Below are 24704 nucleotides of genomic sequence, written 5' to 3'. Positions count from 1 at the left end.
AAACCTTTACCTTTACCTGGCTTTTCGCCTGGTCCAGCTGGAACATCTGTTTGGAATTTGTAGGTATGGACATCACGTTTTTAGATATGATGGACTAGCTGTTGCTTTATCCCCACCTTTGCAAACACTTCTACATGTTTTATTTGGAATGCTTCTGAACACTTCTGGTTTTATAAAGGTCTCTGTTTTATAGGATTGCTGACCCAGACCAGCCCGTGCTGTGGTTAGATCAAATGCCAGCACGAAGTCTTAGCAGAGGTTTTAACAACCACATTAATTTAATCAGGTACGAACCTTTTGTGCATCTTTCTTCTTTTCCTAGGAGTTTATTCTCAAGACACAGGCCATGGAGACCAGGAGTGACCCATTGCTCCTTTCCTGGTGACTTTTTGACCAGGGAACATACTGATTGACTCTGCACCTGTGGAGTCCTGCCTGCATTCCTTTCCTCTAGCCCAGCTGCAGAAAGAAACATAGCGCATGCCATACTCCTTCCCCAGGCCCTTCTGTCTGGTGTAGAGCACAACCGAAGGGTAGATTGCAGATGTTTTCCTAGGGCGTCAGTCTTTAAGGAGTCTTAAAATATAGAAAATTATTAGATGGAGAACATTACAGTAACCATAATATTCTTTTGATAGTACATGGCTCAAATAAATTATTTGACAAGTCTCTCGTGGTGGAGTCTCTCACGGTGGGCGGCTCCCCATTCCACCCCAACACACAAAGGGCTTAGATAAATAACACTATCTGGTAACTAAGCTGCCATCTGGGGAGGGCAAGTCAGGTTGGCTGGAAAACTTCTGTTTTGTCCAGAGGCTCTGCTAGTTGGGGACATGGGTGAAATGCTCACTTCTTCACTCTTTCTTTATGTGCCTAGCTGCCTTCTAAATAAATGGTGAACAAATATTAAAGGATATCAGTTTCTTGGGGACCTATATTATCAGCCCATCTTTTAGTGAATTTAATTTTAGATAAAATGTATAGATATGGTAGTTGTGTCACCTCTAAAATGCTTCTAGTTCCAGGAAGCTGAATTAAGAAAATATTTTTCTATACACCTTTAAGTTTGGGTTTTAATGGAAATATAATTTGTATGTATATTTATTTTTTTAATTTCTAGAAAACAAATTTCTTTTCACCTTGTGACTTGTATATTCCTATTTCTCATGGAATAATTTGTGGCATAGATAGGTAGACTCAAGCAACTAACTTTAATCGAAGGCTACCGTAGATCAGCCAGTGTGCTGTGCTGTGCTGTGTGTTGGGGATACAGAAGGGAGATACAGCCCCACCTGCTGAAAGCTCACAGCAGACAGACCAGCAGACAACTACTATGCAGTGTGTTAAGAGTGAGCTGATCACATGCACAGGATGCCATGGGAACCTGGAGAAGGGGTGCCTGATAAAGCCTTCTGGTGCTACAGGGCTATTTGGAAAAATGGAAAACAGAGAGAGGTGGGGTGATTAACTTGGACCCATGGATGAGTTAGGTATGGTCAGGAAACTGTGACTAACTCATTACGCCTGGTGGTGAGTTTGCAATTAAGGGAGTATCAGGAATTAAGGCTAGAAAGATAGGCAGAAGTCAGAACATAAATCATTTTATAGTCCAAGCTAAGGAATTTTTTCCCCTGAAGACAATGGTGAGCCATTCAGGGATTATAAGCAGAGAAGTAACAGGAACAGATTTGCACATTGGGAGAAGATGGCAAAATAGATTGGAGAGGAGGCAGGAACCTCGGAGGTAAGGGAGGAGGTTGGAAAATTGTGTAGTTGTTCAGGTGGACAAGTGCAAAGGCCTCAAAAGCTGTGTGGTAGTGAGTTGGAGAGGAAGAGCTAGACTCTTAGAAGATAGAATCAGGAGCACTGGCAGTGGGCTGCAGTGGGAAGGGCATGGAGCTAGAGGAAGGCCACCTTCCCTCAGGTACGTGGTTGTCCCATTAGGCCAGAGAGCACCAGAACGAAAAGTAGGTGGACATGTTTAGTGGGGAGGCTGGGAGAAGTGTGGGTTGCAGGAGGGAATTCTTACTTGACAGTAACCTTTGAGGTTTGAGATGCCTGGTGGGAACCCAGGGAGCGATGTCCTGGGAGCAGTCGGCTGTGTCATGTGACTCAGCATGTTGGCTGAACATGGAGTTCTGGGAGTGAGTTTAAAAGGAAAAGATCAGAAGGGATAGAAATGTGAGGAAAAGAGTATTCCGAGTGGGTAGAGGAAAGGAGACTGCTAGTGAGCTAGAGAGCAAGACAGGGTATTGGATAATGCTGTTGGGAGAACTGAGGGAGGGGAGACGGCACACTGCCCACAAGTGATGGGATCCGTCAGAGGACGCTGATATGAAAGTCTGGACCTCACTTTAGTGCTGGGGGATTTGTCTTCCCATTGTGGCTGATCTGGCACTGAGTTTGATGCCAGAATAGGCCCTGTGAGCTGGCAGGCAGTCTTGCTAAGACGGTGCTTTGCTTCACCACTCATTGACTATGAACAAGCGAATTTCCCAGACTTTTTTTTTCTACATTATTCTCATAGTTTCTTATTTTTTTAAATTAACTTTGAAATTAGATGTTGGCTTGAGCATATTCTTCTATAAAAATATTCTTAATTTTATTATTTTTGCCTTATAGGGGTCAGGTGATCAACATGAGATACCTAGAATATTTTGAGAAAATACTTCATTTTATTAAAGACAGAATTCTTGTTTATCATGGGTAAGCCTTTAATTTTCTCCTTCTTAGTAATGAGTTGATTTCATGTGTTTTATATTTGTTATATTTTTGAAACTTGAGAACTAAGCCTGTTGACGGGCTAAACAAGGTCTATCAAATTTTTACACAGTGTTTAGAATCGTAAAGGCTTTCATAATCACTTTCTTTTTAATACAAAATCCACAGACCTCAACTGAAGTGTTTTTAACTTTATGTGCACTATTGTGACTTTTCTAGTCTCTTTCTTCTATAAAGCAGGATGTTTCTTTGGATTTATCTTTTAGGGATTTCAGCTTTAATACTTACTCTCCTTCACTTGAAAGGCAGGATGGGATAGACAAAACAATGAGCAGAACACTAGGAGAAAAAAAATCTGAATGCTTAAATATCACCAAGTAAATATAAAATCGGTGGAAAAACCTAGCAGAATACTTTCATTTGAGCAGCTTTAGAAAGGAAAAAAACAACACAAAACATCCACATATAATTTTAGAGCTGGAATAGGAAAATCAGAGTTTAAGAACCAAACTCATAACCATACATGTTCACACAAACACTGGCTTTTGATCCATTCTGCTTTTTCCTGTTTTGCCTTCTAGATGTTTCCTTAATTCTCATCTGCTGCTGTTTCCTTAATTTTCATCTGCAGTCCAAAACTCATTAGAATTGAACTATCCCGTTATTTGGAAGGTTTATTTGTGGCCTACCATTTTGAATGTTTAGCTACTCAAAATTGAGGTCAATTTATTTAAATTAAAGATAATTGCATGATTAATTATTACAATTCTGCATTAATCTCAGTTGCCATCTCTCTCTGTCTCTCTTTAAGAGCTAATAATCCTAAAGGATTGCTGGAAGTTCGGGAAGCCCTGGAAAAGGTACACAAAGTAGAAGACCTTCTTCCGATTATGAAGGTAACTTTAGCATCAGAATGGCAGTCCATGTTTTTAGAGGAAAAGAAAACCAACAGCACTTTTTTAAAAAGAACTCAGAATTATTAAATGCTATTTGAAATCACTCGTATGAACACATTCTGAATAATAACCAAAATAAAAGAACCTACAGGCATCAGACTCAAACAGAAAAAACAACTTGTGAGGAAGCAGTTAATATAGAAAAAAGAAAACTTAAAAATACATATAATTGAATTCTGCTTCTGGCCACAGCTGAGTAACTGGTACTCAGCTGCCCTTCTACATGATTGCAGTTATAAAACTGGACAAAAGTTAGTTATTTTCAGGCACTGGCTAATTACAATAATGTGAATCCCACTGTCACCCCAGCTTTCTACTGTGGTATTTATTAGACCACTGCACGGTAATGTGGAGCCCAAGCAGAGTACAGTGGTCTTGCTAAGCTAAGGAGGTAGAGAGTGGAGTTTGGTTCTGCCAAAGTGGCTGGAATTTGCAGAGCAGAGTATAGGAGAGAAGGAGGCCATGTAGGCTGGGGAGTGCTCAGGGGTTAATGTGAGCACTCCTTTTCATCCTTGACTAAGACCTTGGTCATGAACATGCAATAAAAGACCATGAGAGGCTCAGCAGAGAGTGGCTACTGTGGGAACGAAAGCTGAGCAGAGGTATCAGAGGTGTATGTGCTGAGAGACATTGGAGTTTCGGCCTTGCCAATGTGGATGGATCCTGTGAACACCTTGGGCGTTTAGTTAAGACCCCAGAAAGGACACAGTTTAAAAGTAAGACCATACTTTACAGTAAGGCCCACAACCTAGGACTAAGAACAATTTCTAAATAGACTGCCCTAACAAAGAATAAAACTAAGTCTAAAGGATTAAGTGGATCTGCTAGTGATTTGACTACCTGTCAAAACTCATTACCCTTTAAAGAAAGGCAAAATAACCTATACTCTTTAATTACTAGAGAAGTAAATGCCATCGTTTGAATGTGTTCCCCTCAAAATGAATGTGTTGGAAATGGAATCCTCAGTGCACATATGTTGGGAGGTGGAGCCTAACAGGAAGTGTTTAATGGCAGAGCCCTCATGAATGGATTCATGCCGTTATAAAAAGGGCTTTGGGGAGTGGCCTCTCTTGCCCTTCCAGCTTCCGTCATGTGAGGCAGCAGTCAGAAGGCTCACATCAGACGCTGGCACCTTGATCTCAGACTTCCCAGCCTCCAAAATAAATTTCTGTTCTTTTTTTTTTTTTGAGACAGGGTCTTGCTCTCTTGCCTACACTGGGTGATGAGTGAGACCCCATCTCCTAAAAACAAACAAACAAACAAACAAAAAGCTAGATACAAAAGTATGATAGTATGATCCAGGTATACCAGGCAAATGCTAATGAGAAGAAAAGTATGTGTGGCAATATCAATAATGGAAACATTTGAATTCAATGGGAAGGACACTAAAAGGGACAGAAATTATTTGATTAAAGTATAATCCATTAAGAATTATAACTGTGTGAACCTTTCCTCCATCTAGGAGTAAAACTGCCCCAAAACATGCCAACAGCAGTTAGAATTGCTTTTCCAATTAGTGGTTTAAACACTAATGTGCAACTTCAGTAAATGTTTTCCTTGCAGCTATAGTAGATGAGATTGATTCATGTAAAATTTAGGAAATTTGTATGAATAAGCAAAGTGTATCTATTTCTAAGGAATAGCAAGGAAGTAGCATGTCATGAACAGAGCTGAGCATCTGACCCAGGCCCCACATCTGCCTGGGTGGGTGTGGATGAGCCTATTTTACAGTTATTCCAGGTTTTTGGTCTGCTGAAGACCAAATATTGTGGCCAGACCTACCTCGTGGAGTTTATTGTGAGGGTCTGATGCACTAACACAGTGCCCCTCAACCTTCTCAAACCCACTGCGTTGACTCAGTAAACATGTTCAGATGCCCCCTTTACTGACTCCTTTATTGCACTAAGATGAACTTCACAGAGAATATGTCTCACCTCCTAAAAAATGTCCACGCAAAGTCATCTCAGTATCTCAGTCCACACAGTGTCCACACAGTGTATCTCAGTATGCAGAAATTGGGGCAGGCCTTCTCTAGAAGCCGGAAAGCAGTAGCCAGTGCTTCACACCTGCATGTAAAATCATGGTGAATGTGACAGTTATAAGTGTAGCCCCATATCTGTGTGTTATTTGGTGAGCTACATTGTCATTGGCGATGTGGTTTTCTGAAATGGTAAACCAAGCTTAGTAAAGCTCCAAGCTATATATAGTAGACTCCTTACTCAATGTGTATGCTATTTGCATTCCTGGCAAATTCAGTATGTATGAAAACTATATAATAAATAGTTAGCGTTTAAGTGCAAAACAGAGTCTGGTTCCAGGCCCACATATTGATTAAATGATAAACATGTTCTTCATCTACATGAAAATCCAGTGGGACATTAGAAAATCATACATTATGTGTGACAATCCCCTGTACTGTGGGACATATAGTAATCTTGGCTCCCAACTGTCCAATCCCTGTAATAATCAGTCTCCCATAAATTTCCCCAGCGCCCCCCAGGGGGCAGAATGGCTTCACCACAGGCCCTGAGATGTACCATATAGAAAGGAAACTGGTGTGTGAGGGCTCTTCAGCTGCCTTCCTGTGGGTATTCTAGTTAGGCATTTAGATGTCCTGTGGTATTAGGCAGAATACAACGTCAGTTTAGGGAGATTTTAATATTTTATATGTCTTTGTCTAAGAAGAAAAACAGAGTGGGCTACAAGACTGTAGTCACTTAGCATGCAGCCTGAGACGCGGCATCGCCAGCCTCAGTGTGCCTCTCGGTGTGAAATCACCAACTGTTGTCTGAAAGATGTAAGATGTTTGTTCTCTGCGGTGGGATGACATTCCATTTCAGCATTATACATCTAGCCTTTACCCAGGATTACGGATATATTGGTACTTTGCAAGGCACACACAGCAGAATATACAACAAGATATTTGAGTGTTTAAAGTGCTTAGTGGAATGTACCAGGTCAACTTCCACTGAAAGGCACAATGGTACTGTTGATGAAAAACCAAGTTAACGTGTATGTCAGCGCCCCCTAGAGGCGGTTTATTAGCAAGTAACGCGGACTGGAATTCACCAAGACCTTGGGCCCACATTCCCACTCTGCGGCTTCCCTGCTGGCTGGGACTCAGCCAGACTTTGCCTCACCTAGTTCGTTTCTCATCTGTAAGATTGAGACCATACCTAGTGCTATCAGTATGTTGTGAGGATTAGATGAGAATTGGCACATAGTGTGTTAACGCATTTCTTCTCCTGAAAGTCGTTTTTTTTGGCGTGAAAGATGCTTGCCTGCTCAGTGCCTGCTGTGGGCCTTATGACCTGTGCCACTCATCCTCTGGCTTCTGGGCTGCTGGTGACACCTGGTGCATCTTTCTGTTTCTAGACAAGCTCTCCCCTCATGAAGCAGCAGCCTCTTGTACTTTACTGTTGCTTCTCTTAACTTCCAGTCCATCAATTAAAAAAAAAAATTGGCAATATTAAGTTAACTAAATTTGGGGGTCATTTTCTGAAACCTATTTATTGCCATTGCAGGTTTGTCCCAAATGTTTTAAACAGAAAGCTAACGTCTGAAACTGTGTTCATACATTTATCACTCCGAAAGCCATTCTTAACTCCGAGTAATTCTTTTAACTTAACCGACTTATCTGTGGCTCACAGAGTTGGGTGGGTGTGGGTGTGGGTGTGAATGAAGTTCTCCAGTTAGTGGATATAATCCTGGGTACTCTTCAGAAAAATCAGTCTCTGCTTTGAGCACTAGTATGAGCATAAGTTGCATTTTTGAGTTACGGGATGTTAGGTACAACTATTCTGCCATGATTCAAGGTTGCTGCCTACTAAGATGGACATGAGAAAACATTCAAAGGGAGCTCTTAGAAGTGAGCAGTGCCCCTTGTTGACGAAGAGAACCTGTGAGCTTTTGGTGCTGAGGTTCTCTGCTGGCCTCTGGTAGGAGCTGTGGGGAGCGTAACCTGGGCTCTGTTGGGGCCTGAAGACAGGCAGAGATGTCCTTGGCCACCAGGCCACCATCTCTTGTATCAGATGACCTCCTTGGCCCTTTTTAAAAACATGTAAGGTAGAGCCAGCACTACAGAGTTGCAGTTGGGGTTTACAGTGAATGAAACACTAGTAACGTGAATTTTCTTTTTCCCTGAAAGCAGTTTAATACTAAAACGAAGGATGGGTTCACCGTGAACACAAAAGTTCCCAGCCTTAAAGACCAAGGGAAGGAATATGATGGATTCACAATCACGATTACAGGAGACAAGTATGTGCGCTTCTTAATGTGGGTGTAAACTAGAGACGAGGCAGGAAGGGTGCCTGTGCTTATTGTCACTATAGAGTTTTGTGGTGTTGAACTTTTGCTCCATCCTGAAATGAAAAGTATCAAGGTCCAGTGAGCAGTTATAACCAGTTATTTAAAAAAATGTGACATCTAAAGTATTACACCAGCAGATACATTTTCTGACTGTCTAAATCTAAGGACTTTCTAGATACTATGTATGATGTAGTTTGTGGGAGACATTCTTCTGGGTTCTTGAAGTTCCTTGGGGGGGCGAGGGAGGCTTTTACTAATAAAATGAAAAAAGATGAGCAGTTGGCGGATTGAAGTCCATTGTAGATTTAAATATATATGTATAAAAGCCAATCTATATATATATAGAGAGAGAGAGAGAGAGAGAAAACAGCTTTAATAATTAATGAGTAGTATAATCTTATTGTAGAAAATTTAGAATATACAGATAAGCAAAATTAACAAAATAAAAATCAAGTTATTTTCTTTAAAAACTGAGGTTAGACTGTTCTACTATTTACCCTTACCATTACATTATCACAATCATTTCCCCAGTCATATTCTTAAAAGTATTTTTAGTAACTGCATAATATTCCATTGTATAGATGTAGAATTTCTCTGACTGATCTTTTTGTTATTGACCACTTAGGGTATTTCTCATTGTTTTGCTTTATAAATAGCACTGCAGTAAACATTTTTATTAACTCTAGTTTTATTTACATCTGAAATCCAAGCTTTGTCTGTCAGCCTCCATATTCCTTGAATTGTGGGTGGAATTGCCTTGAGCTGTGCACACACACACACACACATACACACACACCCCATATTCAGGTGCATAGCCTTGGGAAGTGCCATGCCCTCCCCCTGGTTTCCACCTGCTCAGCAGTGAGACTATGACTCACATTCTCCAGCCCCTCTGCCTCTTGGGCTCTGGCTTTCTCACATACTTTTCCTCTAAACTACAAGGAGCCACCTCTTCAAGTTCCATGTCAAAACTTAAACAGGCCTTCATGAGTAAACACCAGTTCAGCAACTTCCAGATTTCAGGGCTTTTCTATATCTTTGAAGTCTTGATCTCTACCTCAAGCTTCTTATCAAAGTACGTTCCCAATAAAGATCATTCTCCCCTGATTGCAGGTTGTGCTATTTAACATAAAAAGTGTTCTCCTACCTTTTCACACATCCACGATGTGTATCCTCAGATCAGATTCCTAAGCAGAAATGAAATTACTATATAAGTACAGTTGATCTTTGAATAACTCAGGGGTTAGGTGGATTGACCTTCCCACCCCAGCAGGCAAAAATTTGCATATAACCTTTGACTACCCCAAAACTTAATAGCCTACTGTTGACCAGAAGCCTTACCAAAAACATAAACAGCTGATTAACATATATTTTATATGTTATATATATTATATTTTGTATTCTTACAGTAAAGTAGGCTAGGGAAAAGAAAATGTTATTAAGAAAGTCGGCCGGGCGCAGTGGCTCACGCCTGTAATCCTAGCACTTTGGGAGCCCAAGGCGGGCGGATCACTAGGTCAGGAGTTCGAGACCAGCCTGACCAATATGGTGAAATCCCATCTCTACTAAAAATACAAAAATTAGCCAGGCCTGGTGGCGCGCACCTGTAATTCCAGCTACTCTGGAGGCTGAGGCAGGAGAATCGCTTGAACCCATGACGGGGAGGTTGCAGTGAGCCGAGATCATGCCACTGCACTCCAGCCTGGTGACAGAGTGAACTCCATCTCAAAAAGAGAAAAAAAAAGAAAATAATAAGGAAAATATACTTAACTATGTATTAAGTGGAAGTGGATCCTCATAAAGGTCTTTATCCTTACTATCTTCACGTTGAGTAGGCTGAGGAGGAGGATACGGAGGGGTTGGTCTTGCTGTCTCAGGGGTGGCAGAGGTGGAAGAAAATCCTCGTATAAGTGGATCCATGCAGTTCGAACCCATGTTGTTCAAGGGTCAACTGTACATGAAATTTCTCCCCTTGAAACGTGACATCTTTCCTCAATTTCCTGCTTCACCTCACTTGTTGCCTCCCTTGCTCTGGGCCTCCTGACCCCTCGAGTCGACTCTGCCTGGCATCCCATCTTCTGTCTCCTGCTTCACCAGCACTTCACCAATGTTGCTAGAGCTCCACCTCACTGGACGTTCCCCTAGCTCCACAAATCTCTCCCCTCTCCATACCCAGCCATTGCCTGTGGCTACCCAAACCAGCTTCCCTGCCAGGCATTCACAGCCTCTCACAAAGTGGCCTCAGACATTTCCTGCTTGACCTGGACCATCTCCCTGTTGGAACCTGGCCTGCTAGTCCGACTGGAATGCTTGTTCCCCAGTTCACCCCTGCTTTCCAATGTCTGGGTCTCTCACTCCCATCCCGACCCATGTTCAGGCCACTTCTCCCATGAGACCTTTCCTGCTTTTCTCTATGTTGTCCAAATTAGATTCCTTTTTTGAACCTCTGATGAGCTACATTATGACCTGAGTCATGGTTTCATAATAATTTGTGGCCCTTGGCCAGAAGTGGTGGCTCATACCAGCATATTGGGAGGCCAAGATGGGAAGATTGAGGCCAGGAGTTTGAGACCAGGCTGGGCAACATGGTGAGACCCTGCCTCTGCAACAGATTTTTAAAAATAACTACAGGTGCATACCAGTAGTCCCAGCTACTCAAGAGGCTGAGGCGGGAAGATCACTTGAGCCCAAAAGTTTGAGGCTGCAGTGAGCTATGATCATGCCAATGCTCTCCAGCCTGGGTGGTAGAGCAAGATCCCATTTCTTATAATAATAATTTGTGGCCCCGTTTCTTCCTTCCTTCCTCAATCAAGGCAGCAGCTGAGCTTTTCTTTGTAGGCTCCGAGGACTAAATGCAACACTTTGCTAGTGGCGTTATACAAAAAATGCCTGTTGTATCAAACTTATATCCTCCACAGAACCTCAGTGGAGCTTCAGCTCCACTTTTTTTTTGTTTTGATAAAAAACAGAACCATGGTGTAGTCCCTGAACTTTCTTCCTACACACAGTTCTTGCTTCTGACCTTTAATCCTAATGGGGTGGCTTAGAAAATATTTACTGGTTATTTAAATGCATTCTTTACTATGTGTCATTGTTTTCCCATATATTAGCTTAAGTTTGTGTAATAAGTACATGTAGTTAGACTTAACTGTGAGCAAATGAGTTACTGGTCACTTAAAGGTGAGGCAACTATCACATTTTATGAAGAAAGAATGCATTCTCATGAAACCTACCTTGCTTGTCTATAGTTAGAAAGGTAAGGTACATTCTTGTATATGTTTAGTGCTACGTCAGTATGCTATTTGCTTTTTAAAAAAAACTTTCTGTGTTTGGCTGTTTGAACTTATAATACATGCCTTTCACACTTATTTTTGTATTTTCAGAGTTGGCAATATATTATTTTCTGTGGAAACTCAAACCACGGAAGAAAGGACACAATTATATCATGCTGAAATAGATGCACTTTATAAAGATTTGACAGCAAAAGGAAAAGTATTGATTCTTTCATCAGAATTTGGGGTAGGTTTCTCTTTGTTTCCATTTTTCTGCTCTTCCTATGATTCTTTTGTAAATTTTTTGAACCTCTGCCCTTTCACTGAGATTGTACATCTTATGCTTGAAATTGGGTTGAATTGACCTAAAAATATTTCTTATTTCTTATAGGCAAAAATTCTTGTATTTAGTAACTACAGTAATGGGGAGGATAATAAATTAATAATTTAGTACTGCACTATGACATTATCATAAGTTTGGGCTTTGACAAGATATAAAAAAGCTGGTCCATAATGAAAATGACCTGGGCTTCACCTTTTTCTTCCATTTTCTTCCCTTCGTTGCGGTTGTTGCTTATAACCGTATATTTACAAGGAGCTTTTGAATGTAAACTGGATGATGCATTCTGATGAGTTAATGGCAAGGAAAGTATAATGAAGTTGTGTATACTTTGCACTTGGCGGCCCTTTCCTGGTCTGTGGCCTTCTTCTTTGGTTGTCTGCTTGGACTCGAGGTGGAGTCGTTACAGGCAGCAGGGTATGGTGGACATTCTCTCCCCACCACGCCCCTTCTCTGTGTTCTGCAGTGGACGGGTGCCCCTTACCCTTGAAAAGTCACCTTATTTCTCCAACATTTAATCACTGCATCCATATAATTAAACATCTAAGTTTATACACATAATTGAGCATCATCCAAATCTCAATGCGGAGTAGGGGAAGGGGCTTACCCAGATCTTTTGGGGTAAGGTACATGTTGTTTGAGAGAACATATTTGGTGTTAATAAATGCCTTTTAAAATTTTAGTCACAATATATATTTTGACATTTCAAATAACGTTAAAGGAGACTGAGATTTTTATGTTTATCCAAGAGTTGCAGTTTAAGAAACAGCTGGGAAAACATTGCTCTAAATTGAACTAAATTGGAAAAAAATGATACAAAAGGGTATAGAATATTCAAGAATTTGAAAAGTAGATTCTTATGGGGGAGGAAGAAAACAATCCTCTTCTTGATGTAGATTATTCTTGTGTGTTCTGTCACCTAATGAAAAATTAGTTTGTAATCTTTATAGTATTTATGAGTCTGTATCTTTTTTTTCTAGGAGGCTGATGCTGTCTGCAACTTAATCTTATCCTTAGTTTATTACTTTTATAATTTAATGCCACTCTCTCGAGGATCCAGGTAAGTAATATCCTGTCATTAAAATTATTTTAAATTGAGAAATGTGTTCTTTTTTGCTTATCCTTCCTGTTATGGATATAGGTACAGAGTACACAAAGAAATGGTAAGGAGCTCCCTATTTTTTTCCAAAATCTGCACAAAAAAATATTTCCTTAGTCTATCACATCAGCAAAAGAATTATAGAAGACAGTTCTAATATAGTGTGCTTACGTTTAATAGGATAGGGATTCATCCATTCAACACAAGTTCATGGAAAGTTTACTGTGTATCATGTGCCGTGCTCAGTGTGTTTTAATTTTTTGTATCTGCCAGCCTCTTACTGAACCTCTTCCTCCTCCTCTTCCTTTTCCATTTTGGGCTGTCAGGTGACCCATAATCCTCATGTTTTATACTTTTGGGCCAACAGTCACTCTGTACTATTTTTATTATTTTGGATAAATTCTTGCTACTTGTATATCAGGAGTTTTTTAGGTATCATTAAAACAAGAGCTATGACTGTAGAGTTTTCATTTCATTCTCCTTTTCCCAGCACTGTGTGCAGTAAATTATGTAAATGGCCTTTTGCCATTACTGGCACATAGTTGAACTTAAGATGTTTTGGCTAAAAATAATACACTTGAATGTCTTTATCTTTGATTAATGGCTTAGAAAGTAAAACTCCCCTAAGTGTGGTAGTAAATTTGGTTATAGAATTTAAGACTCATTGAAACAAAATAGAAACATAAATGTTGTCTTATCAGCATAATATTGCTAGTTGTGTCCACTGAATAAGGGATGTGAGGCCTGTGCACATCACCGCTTGTGGGCCCCACTGTACTCAACAGCCAGCATCCGTCCTTTGTCCTCACAGCAGCTCTGCTGGCTCACGTGTGACATTGAAGGACGTGCAGCTCTGATTGTCCTCAACTCTGCCTCATCCCTACATCTCTTCAATCCTAAATAGTCTGTTGATTCTGCCTCCCACACTTCTGTTTCTCTCTTCCCTGTACCCGCCACAGCTAGCTTTGCTCCTGCTCCTCTCTGTGCCCTGCGGCTCTCCAGCACCTTCTGAAAACCATGGGTTTAAGCCGAGCTTGGCAGCATACACAGTGCGCAGTGCTAGCCCTGCCCTGCCCTGGTTTGCCTTGGCTGCAGCACCGCTCTCTTCCGTGGCTCTTTTGCTTCCCCTTGGCTTTCCACGTGGGCTCTCTGCCACATCTCCCTGCCTTCTCTGCCCCTTTCATCTTCAGCCCTGGGACCCTGGAGGTTGCAGAGCACATGTCTTTAGCCTCTGAAGTCTTCCCTGCTGGAGAACCCCATGAATCACCTTGACTCACTTTTCTTGGTGTCCACCCATGGCACTTGTTAGCTTTCTCAGGTGCTCGTGCCATCCTTTCCACCTGCTAGGATGCATTATCTCATGGGTGAGAGCTGTCTTTATTTTGAGCCGATTTGTTTTGGGAAAAGCACAACACTGTGGTTACAATAGTGGGTCCCATGGCCTTTTGCCAGCCCCTTCCACCCAAAACCAGTCAGCTCCCTCTCTTCCCTCACCAAGAGCAGAAGCACAACGTCTTACAAATGCCTCCTACCCCAGACCTGCACACTCGCAGCTCTACACTCGTTCTGGAGTGACAGGGCAGCAGACCTTGCCCCACGAGCCTCCGAGCCAGCAGGCAAAGGTACCCCACAATCCCCTGGCCTCTAACAGCCACCTTGGAGCCCTGGCAGTTCACACACATGCCCAAATCTCCAAACCATCTGTCCGTTAGTACATTGTGAGAATGTATTCTGCATTTCTTCTTTGAAGGCCAGCATTTCTAATGCTTAAAAAGTAAGACTAACATATGTATTTGTATTTATGAACTTTATTGTATACATGCATTGCTGGAGTGCGGTGGAGCGATCTCGGCTCACTGCAACCTCTGCCTCCCGGGTTCAAGCAATTTTTCTGCCTCAGTCTCCCAAGTAGCTGGGACTACAGGCACATGCCACCACTCCTGGATAATTTTTTGTATTTTTGTTACAGATGGGGTTTTGCCATGTTGGTCAGGCTGGTCTCGAACTCCTGACCTCAAGTGATCCACCCACCTCGGCCTCCCAAAGTGCTGGGATTACAGGTGTGAGCCACCATGCCTGGCCTAATTTTTGTGTTTTTAGTAGAGACAGGGTTTCGCCATGTTGCTGTCAAACTCCTGACCTCAAGCGATCCGCCCACCTTGGCCTCCCAAAGTGCTGGGATTACAGGTGTGAGCCACCTCACCTGGCCAGTAAATATATTCTAATAGTAAATTAGTAACTATTCTTAAACAAATAGGCATATTTTCATGTTAAATGAAACATTCGGTGTTTTATTTGAAAGAATTTTTGAATAAATTTTATCTTTCATGATGGGAAGTCCATGGTGAAATTTAACATGGTAACTGTAGACCGTCCAGGATGGATTGACCTTTGTTCTTTATTTAAATAGTGTAATTGCTTACTCGGTCATCGTGGGAGCACTGATGGCAAGTGGAAAAGAAGTAGCAGGAAAAATTCCCAAAGGGAAGGTATGTTGGAGCGGGAAGGGAGAAATGCTTGGTTATGTATTAAGTCCCAATTTATGGATTTTTATTTTAAGGTACACGAGTTACATAGATCTCCAGCCGAGCCTGTGTCCTCCATGTTTAGTAACATTCCTAAATGTCTTTCTTTTTCAGTTAGTCGACTTTGAAGCTATGACAGCCCCTGGTTCAGAGGCCTTTAGCAAAGTCGCCAAAAGCTGGATGAACTTGAAAAGGTAACTACTTGAGGGGGGTCCACACAAGGGTATCATAACTGGAGGAGGAAAAGGAGTTTCCTGTTACTTTGGAGCGCTATGAAAACTGGAACTGTTATACTCATTTTTATAAGTTAATATGTAATACAATGAATTTAATTCACTTTTTCAAGGTTAAAATGTTTTGCTGTTGTATAAGATAACCTTTTAAGGGTGAATGTATGGATAAAAATGGACTATGAAGGCCAGGCACAGTAGCTCATACCTGTAATCCCAGCACTTTGGGAGGCTGAGGTGGAAGGATCATTTGAGGCCAGGAGTTCGAGACCAGCCTGGGCAACATAGTGAAACTGCTCCCCTCTACAAAAAAATTTAAAATTAGCTGGGCATGGTGGTGTGTGCCTGTAGTCCCAAGTACTTGGGAGGCTGAAGCGAGAGGATCTCTTGAGCCTAGGAGTTTGAGGCTGCAGTGAGCTATGGTTGCACCACTGCACTCCAGCTTGGGTGACAGAGTGAGACCCTGACTCTTAAAGAACCATGAATAAAAAATTTAAAAAGTAGTTGGTGAAAGAAAATTACCAAAGTCTTATTTATATGATCAGGTATTCACTTCTCTTGGCCTGTTTACTCTTAGGCTCAGTATTCAGGAGTGTTTGAACTTGTAGACAGAGCCCATTTTACATTACTCTGAGTGGTAGCACTTAGCCTACTTGGTTGCATTTTATTGCAGCCAGGAATTATCCCTGACGGACACTGTGTGTGAGGAGTCTAGCAGACCATGATCGTTCCTGGCTCTTGTTTCCAGAAGCACTGGAGAGGACTGTGTGAATTTGAAGTGTGTGAAATTAAACTCATAGATGCCTCAGTAGTTAATGAAGAATAAGTAAGCCTCACTGTTCAACTTTAGTTATTTTTGCCCCTTCTCCTGGTTTTTTACATCCCAACCACCCCCAGTTTTGCCTTTCACGTCTATTTGACATAGCAACCACTCTATTGCTGGGTAATTTATGTTCTGTTTAAAACAGAAATATTTGTGCCTGTAGTCTACCATTGCTCAATTTGTAATTTAGCTTTGCAATGAAAGCTTCTAACAGTTACACCTTGTCCTGGTACATTGTTGTTTCAGGCTTATTAGTTTGCACATGTTTTAGTAATACAACCACCAGGCCGAAGGTCTTGCTTCTATTCTTACATAATTGTACAGTGTGAATCTTTTGACAATTCTTTAAGGAAAGAATAACAATGCTACCTTACATCCTGCAGTTAACGCTTTACAGCGTACCTTGAAATACCTTATCTCATTCAGAGCTCATGGTAACTTTGCGAGTTAAGAACACTGTCCCTGTGACAGATCAGGGAAGTGCAGCCTAGAGAAGTAAAGAAAGCTAATAAGGAGTGAAGCTGGACCTGAAACCTGTGTCTTTTGATTCCAAGCCCAGCATGCACCACAGCTGGACATGTAAATCAGAGTTTAATTTTCTTTTTCAAAGCTCTGGCTTAACTTCCAAGCGACTTGTAACGTGTTGGCTGATGCCGCAGGCCGTTGTTGTGAGAGGAGCCATTCTGTTCACAGCTCCTCCCTGCCTTTCTAACACTGTTTGATATTACAACATGAATATAATAAATATAATGATAGGAATAAATATAAGCTCTGCCCTTTTTTTGCAAATTTTGTTAATTTTCATGCCGCTACTTTGTGTTTTTCTTTTTCAGTATTTCACCTTCTTATAAGACTCTTCCATCAGTATCAGAAACGTTTCCAACGTTAAGATCGATGATTGAGGTGCTAAACACAGACTCTTCTCCACGTTGTCTTAAGAAACTCTAGTTCTGCTGCTGTATTTATACAAGTAAAGGGCCGGACCTCTTGCTTCTTAAGTTATTTTTTAAAACATGGAATTATAAAGAAATTAGGTCCTCTATTACTTTTGATACCAATTTTTATAGGAATTGAATACTTGAAATCATTTTCTTTACTTTTCTGAACCATAATGAAAATCATGAAAGAGGCTTTCGGGGGGAAAAAGCTACTTGACTTGGAGGGAAAGCGTATGTATTAGCCGGCAGCCTGTTGGTTCCCACTTATAAAGTCATATAACTCCTTCCTTACAGTAAAAAAAATTTTCCTCAACAACTAAAATATAATACTGAAGATGAACAAAAACAAAACCAAATAGGAGTGTTTGTATTCCTTTAGAGATCTGGATATTTTTCAAAGACTTGCTTTTTACGCACATTGTGATAGAGCATCTTTTGTTGACTCACGTAACCTCCATGTGTGGGTCCTTTGTTTTATTAGAACCATGGAAGAAGGTTCCTGGGCCATCAGTATGTGTTGCAGAGCTCACAGCCAGGAACACTTATTTTGAACAATGCAGACAGTACTTGCCAGAGTCCCAAATGCTGAATTATTGAACCATGTTTTTTTTTCCTTTGTTGAAAAAAATAAACCAGGGTGATTTCTATAAATCACCAGTTTTTGGCATTGGATTATGTATGTGTTTATTTTGTGAACCAGTTTCACTTTCAGGTATAAGAACATTCAGAAAGTCTCTCTTGTTTTTTTTCCCAGACAGGGTAAATGACAGTGAGTAAAATGAGTTAATTAAAACTGTTGCTGTTTCCAAATGGCACCATCCATTAGCAAGCTTGCTCTTCTCTCCCTTCTACAGGATGCACACCCATCTCTTTGCTTGGCCACTTCTCCCTGTCCATTGTAATTTCTCTTGGACCACTTCCGGAGTCTCCTGACTCATATTCCTGCTGCTGCTCGGTTTAAACCCCACAGCCTCCTTTTGTCCTAAAATGAAACGCAGTCTCCTGCTGTAGCCTAGCTGACGTGGCTGTGTTTCTCTGATTGAATCTCTTACTCCCCACACTGTCCTTTGTTTGCACCATCAACTCCCCTAGCCTTTTCCTTTCTTGAGAACCTTACAGTTAGCTTGACACTGTCCGATAGAAATTCTGTGATGACATTCCAGAATGTTCTGTGTGCTGCCAGTATGGTAGTCAGTAACCTCATGTGGCTACTGAGCACTTGAAACAGGACTAGTATGCCTGAGGAGCTGAGTTTCACATTTAGTTTTAATTAACTTAAATTCAAATAGCTGCATGTAGCTAGTGGTTATTATATTGGCCCATGCAGCCTACAGAGTTCCTAGTGAGACTTTAAAGGTTTTTCCACAGAAATAATCCAGAATGGTGGTCTCCCAGTGTAAGTTAATATCATTTTGAATTTGTGGTTATAGACTTGCCTGAGTAGCTAAGCTCTTACTATGATCTGTTTTTATTCGCAAGAGTTCCCATACCAGATATATGGAGTTTTCCCCGCATAGCAACCAATTATGCAGCTTTCCATATATCAGCTGGAGTGGGGAGGGATCCTGCAATTCACATCTGACACTAACTTCCTGGAGTTAACACAGACCCCAGAGGTTAAGGGCTCAGTCTCACAAGACTGCCCCCTTTTCAGATGCCAGTTGCAAGTCAGGGCCTCCTGTACTTCTGACTGATTGGCTATAACTCGGGGGTTCCCATCACACCCTCCCTCCTCATGTTTGATAATTTGCAAGAATGGCTCACACAATTCAGGGACACCCTTTACTTACTATTACTGATTTGTTATATCGGATACACATGAACAGCCAAATGGAAGAGGTGCACAGGGCAAGGTATGGGGGGGCAGCATGGAGCTTCCGTGCGCTCTCCAGGCCCACCACCGTCCCCCCACCTGGAAGTGTTCACCAACCAAAAACCCCCAAACCTTTTCACTTAGGGTTTTTATGGGGGTTCCATTGCATAGGCATGGTTGATTAAATCATTGCCAATTAGGTCAATTCTCAGCCCCTCTTTTCTCTCTGGAGGCTGGGGGTTAGGACTGAAAGTTCCTCTAATCACATGGTTAGTTTCTCTGGCCCCCAACCCCCATCCTCCAAGAGTCATCTCATCAGCATAAATTCAGATATGGTTGGAAGGTGCTTATTAATAACAAAAAACACTTCTCATCCCGATCACTCAGAAAATACCAAGAGTTTTACGAGCTCTGTGCCAGGAACTGGAGGGCAGAGATCAGATATAGCTTTCTTATTACCTCGGTATCACAGTTCTATCGATAAAATTGCTCCTGTGGATCAAGATGTTCAGACTTTTAAAAAACTAACTTTAAAGGCCGGGCGCGGTGGCTCACGCCTGTAATCCCAGCACTTTGGGAGGCCGAGGCGGGCGGATCACGAGGTAAGGAGATCGAGACCATCCCGGCTAAAACGGTGAAACCCCGTCTGTACTAAAAATACAAAAAAATTAGCCGGGCGTAGTGGCGGGTGCCTGTAGTCCCAGCTACTTGGGAGGCTGAGGCAGGAGAATGGCGTGAACCCGGGAGGCGGAGCTTGCAGTGAGCCGAGATCCCGCCACTGCACTCCAGCCTGGGCGACAGAGCGAGACTCCGCCTCAAAAAAAAAAAAAAAAAAAACTAACTTTAAAAAATCTAGAGCAAAATTTGCTAGTACATTAAGAACTTTAGTGTGGAATTTCTTTGGTATAGAAACTGTATGAGGGACAGGAAACTGACCTCCAACTCTGTGATCATTACTCTCTGATAATTTGGAAATATGGAATAAAATTGATATGCCTCAGAAAGAGAGACCAGCAAAATCACCTAAAGAAACCCACTGTGTCCCAGACCAGCAAAATCTGAGTGTTCATGAATACATCTTAAGATGTCTGTAATGGAGCCCATCATTCCTTCACCCAAAGTCTGTTTCTCCCCACGCTTCTCTGTGTCAGAAATGGTTCCCTTTTCACTCAGCAGCTTCAGCCAGACACCCAGGCAGCCTCCAGAGTCTACACTGCCCTCCTGCAGTTTTCAAATGATCACCATCCAGTCCGATCCTGTTTACCTCTAAGAAGATCCCAGATCCATTCATGTCTTACCATCTCCATTGTTACCCCCAAGCCCAAGCTACTTAAAGCTAAACTAATCAATATTAAACTAAATCGAACGCTTGTTTCTGTCTCCCTAGCTGCCTTTCAAGTGCTCAGTAGCCACATGTGGCTAGCAGCTATCACATTGGACAGAGCAGACATGGGACAGCCCCATCATCACAGAACATCCCACTGAGCAGCACTGCTATCCTGAAAGCAAACACACTGCTATCCCCCCAACCCAACACACTGCGCATCCCGGTGGTCTTAAGCAAGGGTCCAGGAGGTTTTAGGGTCAAAACCACAGTGTTTGGTGGCAGCATGGGGGCACAAATTAGAGAAAGAAAGAAAAAACACTTCTAGACTGGCTTGAAACGTTTCCTTCTGTTTTCTGATCCAAGGTGTCTGTGGTTAGGCCCGGGATCTCCATCTTCACCTAAACCTCACGTGCTTCACACAGAAGTGGTCTGGGAACCACACCTGAGAAACATCAAACTAGAATATCATGAAAACAAGTATGTTCTTGAATATTAGAGCTGTGATTAGATTTACAGTAGCCCTTTTTGCTTCAAACTATGTTCCCATAAATATAGAATCCCTTTAGTTTTATATGTTGTAAACATAAATTTTACCAGTTAAACTAGTCTACAGAAAGTTGGATATACAAAATGAGATCACACTACACTGTGCTTAATTTTTAAAATTTACTTTTTTCAATTAACACATAATGAATTATATGTCAATAAATATATTTGTAACATTTTAAGTTGGATATACACATATATATGTAATTAAGTCTTGAACACAGGCAGCTTAGTTGAACACAACTTGGTTCACAAGCTCCAATAAAGAGTTTAACTTGTGCCCATTCAAGGTGACACAGACGTGCAGTTTTGAATTGCCTTGTTTAAGTTCCCAGCCTCCTTGCCTTCGCCCTTCGGGGGACAGTCTGATTTCCTGAGCCAGGCGTCTTGGCCACCCTCGGGCCTTTGCCCAGATCCTCCGCACTGAGGTTTAGCTCATGCTCCCTGTGCTAGGGCAGCAAGCCTCAGTGGGTACAGCGTCTACTGTTGATTGACCTCTGCCCGCTCGGGTCCGCTGGCCAACAGCGCATGCGCTGCCTCTTCGGCCTCCTCCGGCTGGTCCGCAGACTTCTCTACCTCCAGAGCCCTGGGCTACCGGTACTGAGCGTGCAGAACTCCTGCCATTGTGGAGGCTCCCTGCGGGCCCCCTGCTCTATTCTATGCCACACTGGGCTTGGGCTTGGGCTTCCCTATAAGGCTTGCTGCCACCTCTCGAGGGATGAGGGGTTGCAACCGGATGCTTCTGTCTCCAGGGTTTGGGGCCCTTCGGGAGCTAATGTGTTTTAAGCACTTACTACGGCTGGCATTTTTCTTTCCTTTTTTTTTTTTTTTTTTTTTTTTTAATCCCGAGACAGAGTCTCTCTTTATTGCCCAGACTGGAGTGCGATGGCGCAATCTCGGCTCACTGCAACCTCCGCCTCCCGGGTTCAAGCGATTCTCCTGCCTCAGCCTCCCTAGTTTCTGGGACTTCAGGCGCACGCCACCACGCCCAGCTAATTTTTGTATTTTTAGTAGAGAGGGGGGGGTTTCACCATGTTGGCCAGGATGGTCTCGATCTCCTGACCTCGTGATCCGCCCACCTCGGCCTCCCAAAGTGCTGGGATTACAGGCGTGAGCCACGGCGCCTGGCCAATTTTTTCTAAGTGTTGTACATTGTTTCACTCATTTAATCCTTTGAAGAGGCCTGTGAGATAAGTGCTAGTATTATCCCCACTTAGGTGACAAACGGGCTCAGGTGGGAGAAGTGACTTGCCTGTCATAGCTCTTGAATGTTGCCTAGTGTGTTTGCCATGCGTAGTAAGTCCTCAGTGGAGAGTGGTGGTGGGGCCAGCGGGGATTTGACTGCCGCATTCTTAGCCTTAAACAAATAAGCCCTTCTGTCAAGGAGCTTGATTGCTTTTGGCTGTCTACCAGGTAGAAATGCCACCATATTACTCAAGGGGCTTCCAGCAGTCATCCATCGGGGGCCAGGCGGATTGGCTTGTTGTGTAACACAACTCTAGAGATCATGTCAAAATGATCAGATTTGTCAAGGCTTATGTATAAGCCCAACAAAAACTGGAAATTGTCACTTACTAGGATCAGAATTTAAAATAATACATCTCTGTCCAAAAATAGATTCTGAATCAATGAATCTTTCCATTAGTAGGCTTCTAATGCAAAGTACTAGAACAATTTTTACATGCAAATTAACTCCTTGAATTACCAGTTTGGTATAGAAGTAACTTCTAAAGTGAATGTAGCACTTTCTGTTTCAGGTAAGTACATAAATGTTAACCATCCAGTTTCACAGCTGGATAAAAAAAAAAATACAACATGTAAGAAAAACATGAGTGGGAGAACCAACTAACTCTGATACATGTATACTTGTTTTATACACATGCCTTTTAATGCTCATAGCACTTGAGAGCTAAGGAGTTCTCAGATCATCTAGTCAAGCTCCTGTAATTTGCTGTTGAGGAAGCTGGGACAAAAAGAGGTGAGTAGCTGCCCAGAGGTCACTCAGGTAGTGCCACGGAGCTGGCGGTCAACCTAGGTAAACACCATCATTGAGCGGAATGCACAAAAAAACTTCAGACAGCTCCCCTGCCGGGCCTTCGCTTGTTCAGCCTAAATAGCTCCTTCTGTGGCTCCTCCCACCGCCTCTTCATACTCCTTAAAATGAAATAAATGTTCATAACTAAACATAATAGTCCACATGTGGTCTGTCCCATAAAATATTTTAATTGAAGTACAACATACATACAAAAAATGCACATGTGTGTGCACATTGGTGAATCTTCACAAACCTAACATAACCAGCTTTGAGATCAAGAAACAGAACATTACCAGCACCCCAGAATGTATGTGAACACATGTTTATACATATAAATAAATATACATCACAGATTTCATATAAACACAGCAGACTACAGTAGCTCTCGAAGGCAGCTTCATCACACTATTGACCCAAGTCAACTAAAAATCTCTAACTTCCGTCTTCCCTAGCAGCTGTGTCTGTTTAATAAAGCTTTACCATTTAATCTTTTTGCCTCCACCAAGTGTCATTTAATTAATATTGGTCCATTCTTATAGCTGTTTTCTTTTGTATTATAAAATCTGATTTTCATCCATTATATTATCACCCCATTTATTTTGTGTCAGCCTATAAGTGATTTCTGTTAAGATTAATCCAATAAGAAAAATCACCTTATCTCAGGCTTACTCCAGCCTTTACACCTCCAATTTTTTTCCAGAAACACTCCTATCATTATAACAATTAATATTATATTTCTGTTTGTGATTTTAAAAATTATCATCTATGAACACTTGTATTTTAAGAGCCTTAGAAGTAAAATCTTGACTTTGTAATCCTTTTATTACAAGAACATTTTCATTAAAATAATCTTCATTCTTCTGTTCCTATGCAACTTGACCCTTCTTCTTTCCCTTTCTGTATCTGTTAGGTTTCTTCTTGCTCTCCCTTCAGGGCAGCGTTAACCAATACTCTGATTTTGGTAATGTGTGTGGGTAGGAGCACAGCTCTGGCCCTCTGAGTGAGATGCTAGCTTGACCACTGAGCAGCCTGGTTTTGTGCTCCACATCCTTGGGAGACCAATAATACTGAAATTACATGCTGGCACATTCCTTCCAAAAATTACTTGAGCAATCGAAATGCCTTAGATAAGAGGGGAAAAAACTATTTTGTCAAATTCTTCCCTTCGGATAGTATAAATGCACTGGATTCTTACATAGTGACGTGCCTTTTTCCAGTAGTCTAGATTGTTTTTTTCTTTGCTTTGTTTCAATTCAGGAGGTTCGCATGAATTAGCATGGCCTATGTGACAGTTGCACGTGGTAACTTAAGATATGCAGGTCTAGCCACAACAGGTAAAGCATGATGCCAGTTCTTTACACTGGTAACCAGATGGACATCGAATGCTAGAATTGCAAATAATTTTTATATTTAAAATTGCAATTATATTTTTAAAATAAAATTTAGCTTTAAAGGTTTGAGTTTTAATTTAATATTTGTAAATTATAATCCACACACTGCCTTTAATTTTAATAGATCATATTGAACACTTTAAAAGTAAAAATTTTTTTAAAAATCAAGTTTAAAAATGTTTACATTTATTTAAATTTTTAAAAAATATATTCAGATTTGGTATATTTTTACTACAATTACATCTTTTTAAAAATTCTTTTTAATCCATAACTCATGATAGAGCACAAATTCAGTAAAAATCTTGAATATAACCACATTAGTGATTTTGCTGAAATGAAGGCAAGAATGATACATTTTAAGGAATTAATGTGATTTTTGA

General features: G+C 41.5%; 1 protein-coding gene across 15 annotated transcripts in view, besides 1 other annotated feature; it reads left to right on the top strand.

The window, feature by feature from the left end:
* Positions 1 to 17884, top strand: part of TTC13 (tetratricopeptide repeat domain 13) — a 72619-nt gene extending 54735 nt beyond the window's left edge. For 8 of the 15 annotated variants that reach the window (NM_001376509.1, NM_001376511.1, NM_001376508.1 and 5 more), the window contains 9 exons: positions 194 to 286; positions 2623 to 2706; positions 3533 to 3617; positions 7825 to 7934; positions 11369 to 11504; positions 12578 to 12657; positions 15107 to 15185; positions 15336 to 15415; positions 17108 to 17884. In NM_001376509.1, coding sequence (NP_001363438.1) covers positions 194 to 286; positions 2623 to 2706; positions 3533 to 3617; positions 7825 to 7934; positions 11369 to 11504; positions 12578 to 12657; positions 15107 to 15185; positions 15336 to 15415; positions 17108 to 17222 — 862 coding nt within the window. In that variant the 3' untranslated portion in view covers positions 17223 to 17884. Of the gene's footprint in view, positions 1 to 193; positions 287 to 2622; positions 2707 to 3532; positions 3618 to 7824; positions 7935 to 11368; positions 11505 to 12577; positions 12658 to 15106; positions 15416 to 17107 lie in introns of all 15 variants that reach the window. The other 7 variants (NM_001376514.1, NM_001122835.3, XM_047430306.1 and 4 more) reach the window with 2 other exon arrangements.
* Positions 21453 to 21954: an enhancer, noted in NCBI's record as "H3K4me1 hESC enhancer chr1:231037919-231038420 (GRCh37/hg19 assembly coordinates)". NCBI's record gives its function as "activates a minimal SCP1, AML or CMV promoter by ChIP-STARR-seq in naive H9 embryonic stem cells {active_cell/tissue: H9 hESC(naive)}" and the evidence as "EXISTENCE:reporter gene assay evidence [ECO:0000049][PMID:30033119]".

The sequence above is a fragment of the Homo sapiens genome, chromosome 1, assembly GCF_000001405.40.
Source record: "Homo sapiens chromosome 1, GRCh38.p14 Primary Assembly".
Lineage (NCBI taxonomy): Eukaryota > Metazoa > Chordata > Mammalia > Primates > Hominidae > Homo > Homo sapiens.
This window is presented reverse-complemented; position numbering and strand designations above follow the sequence as displayed.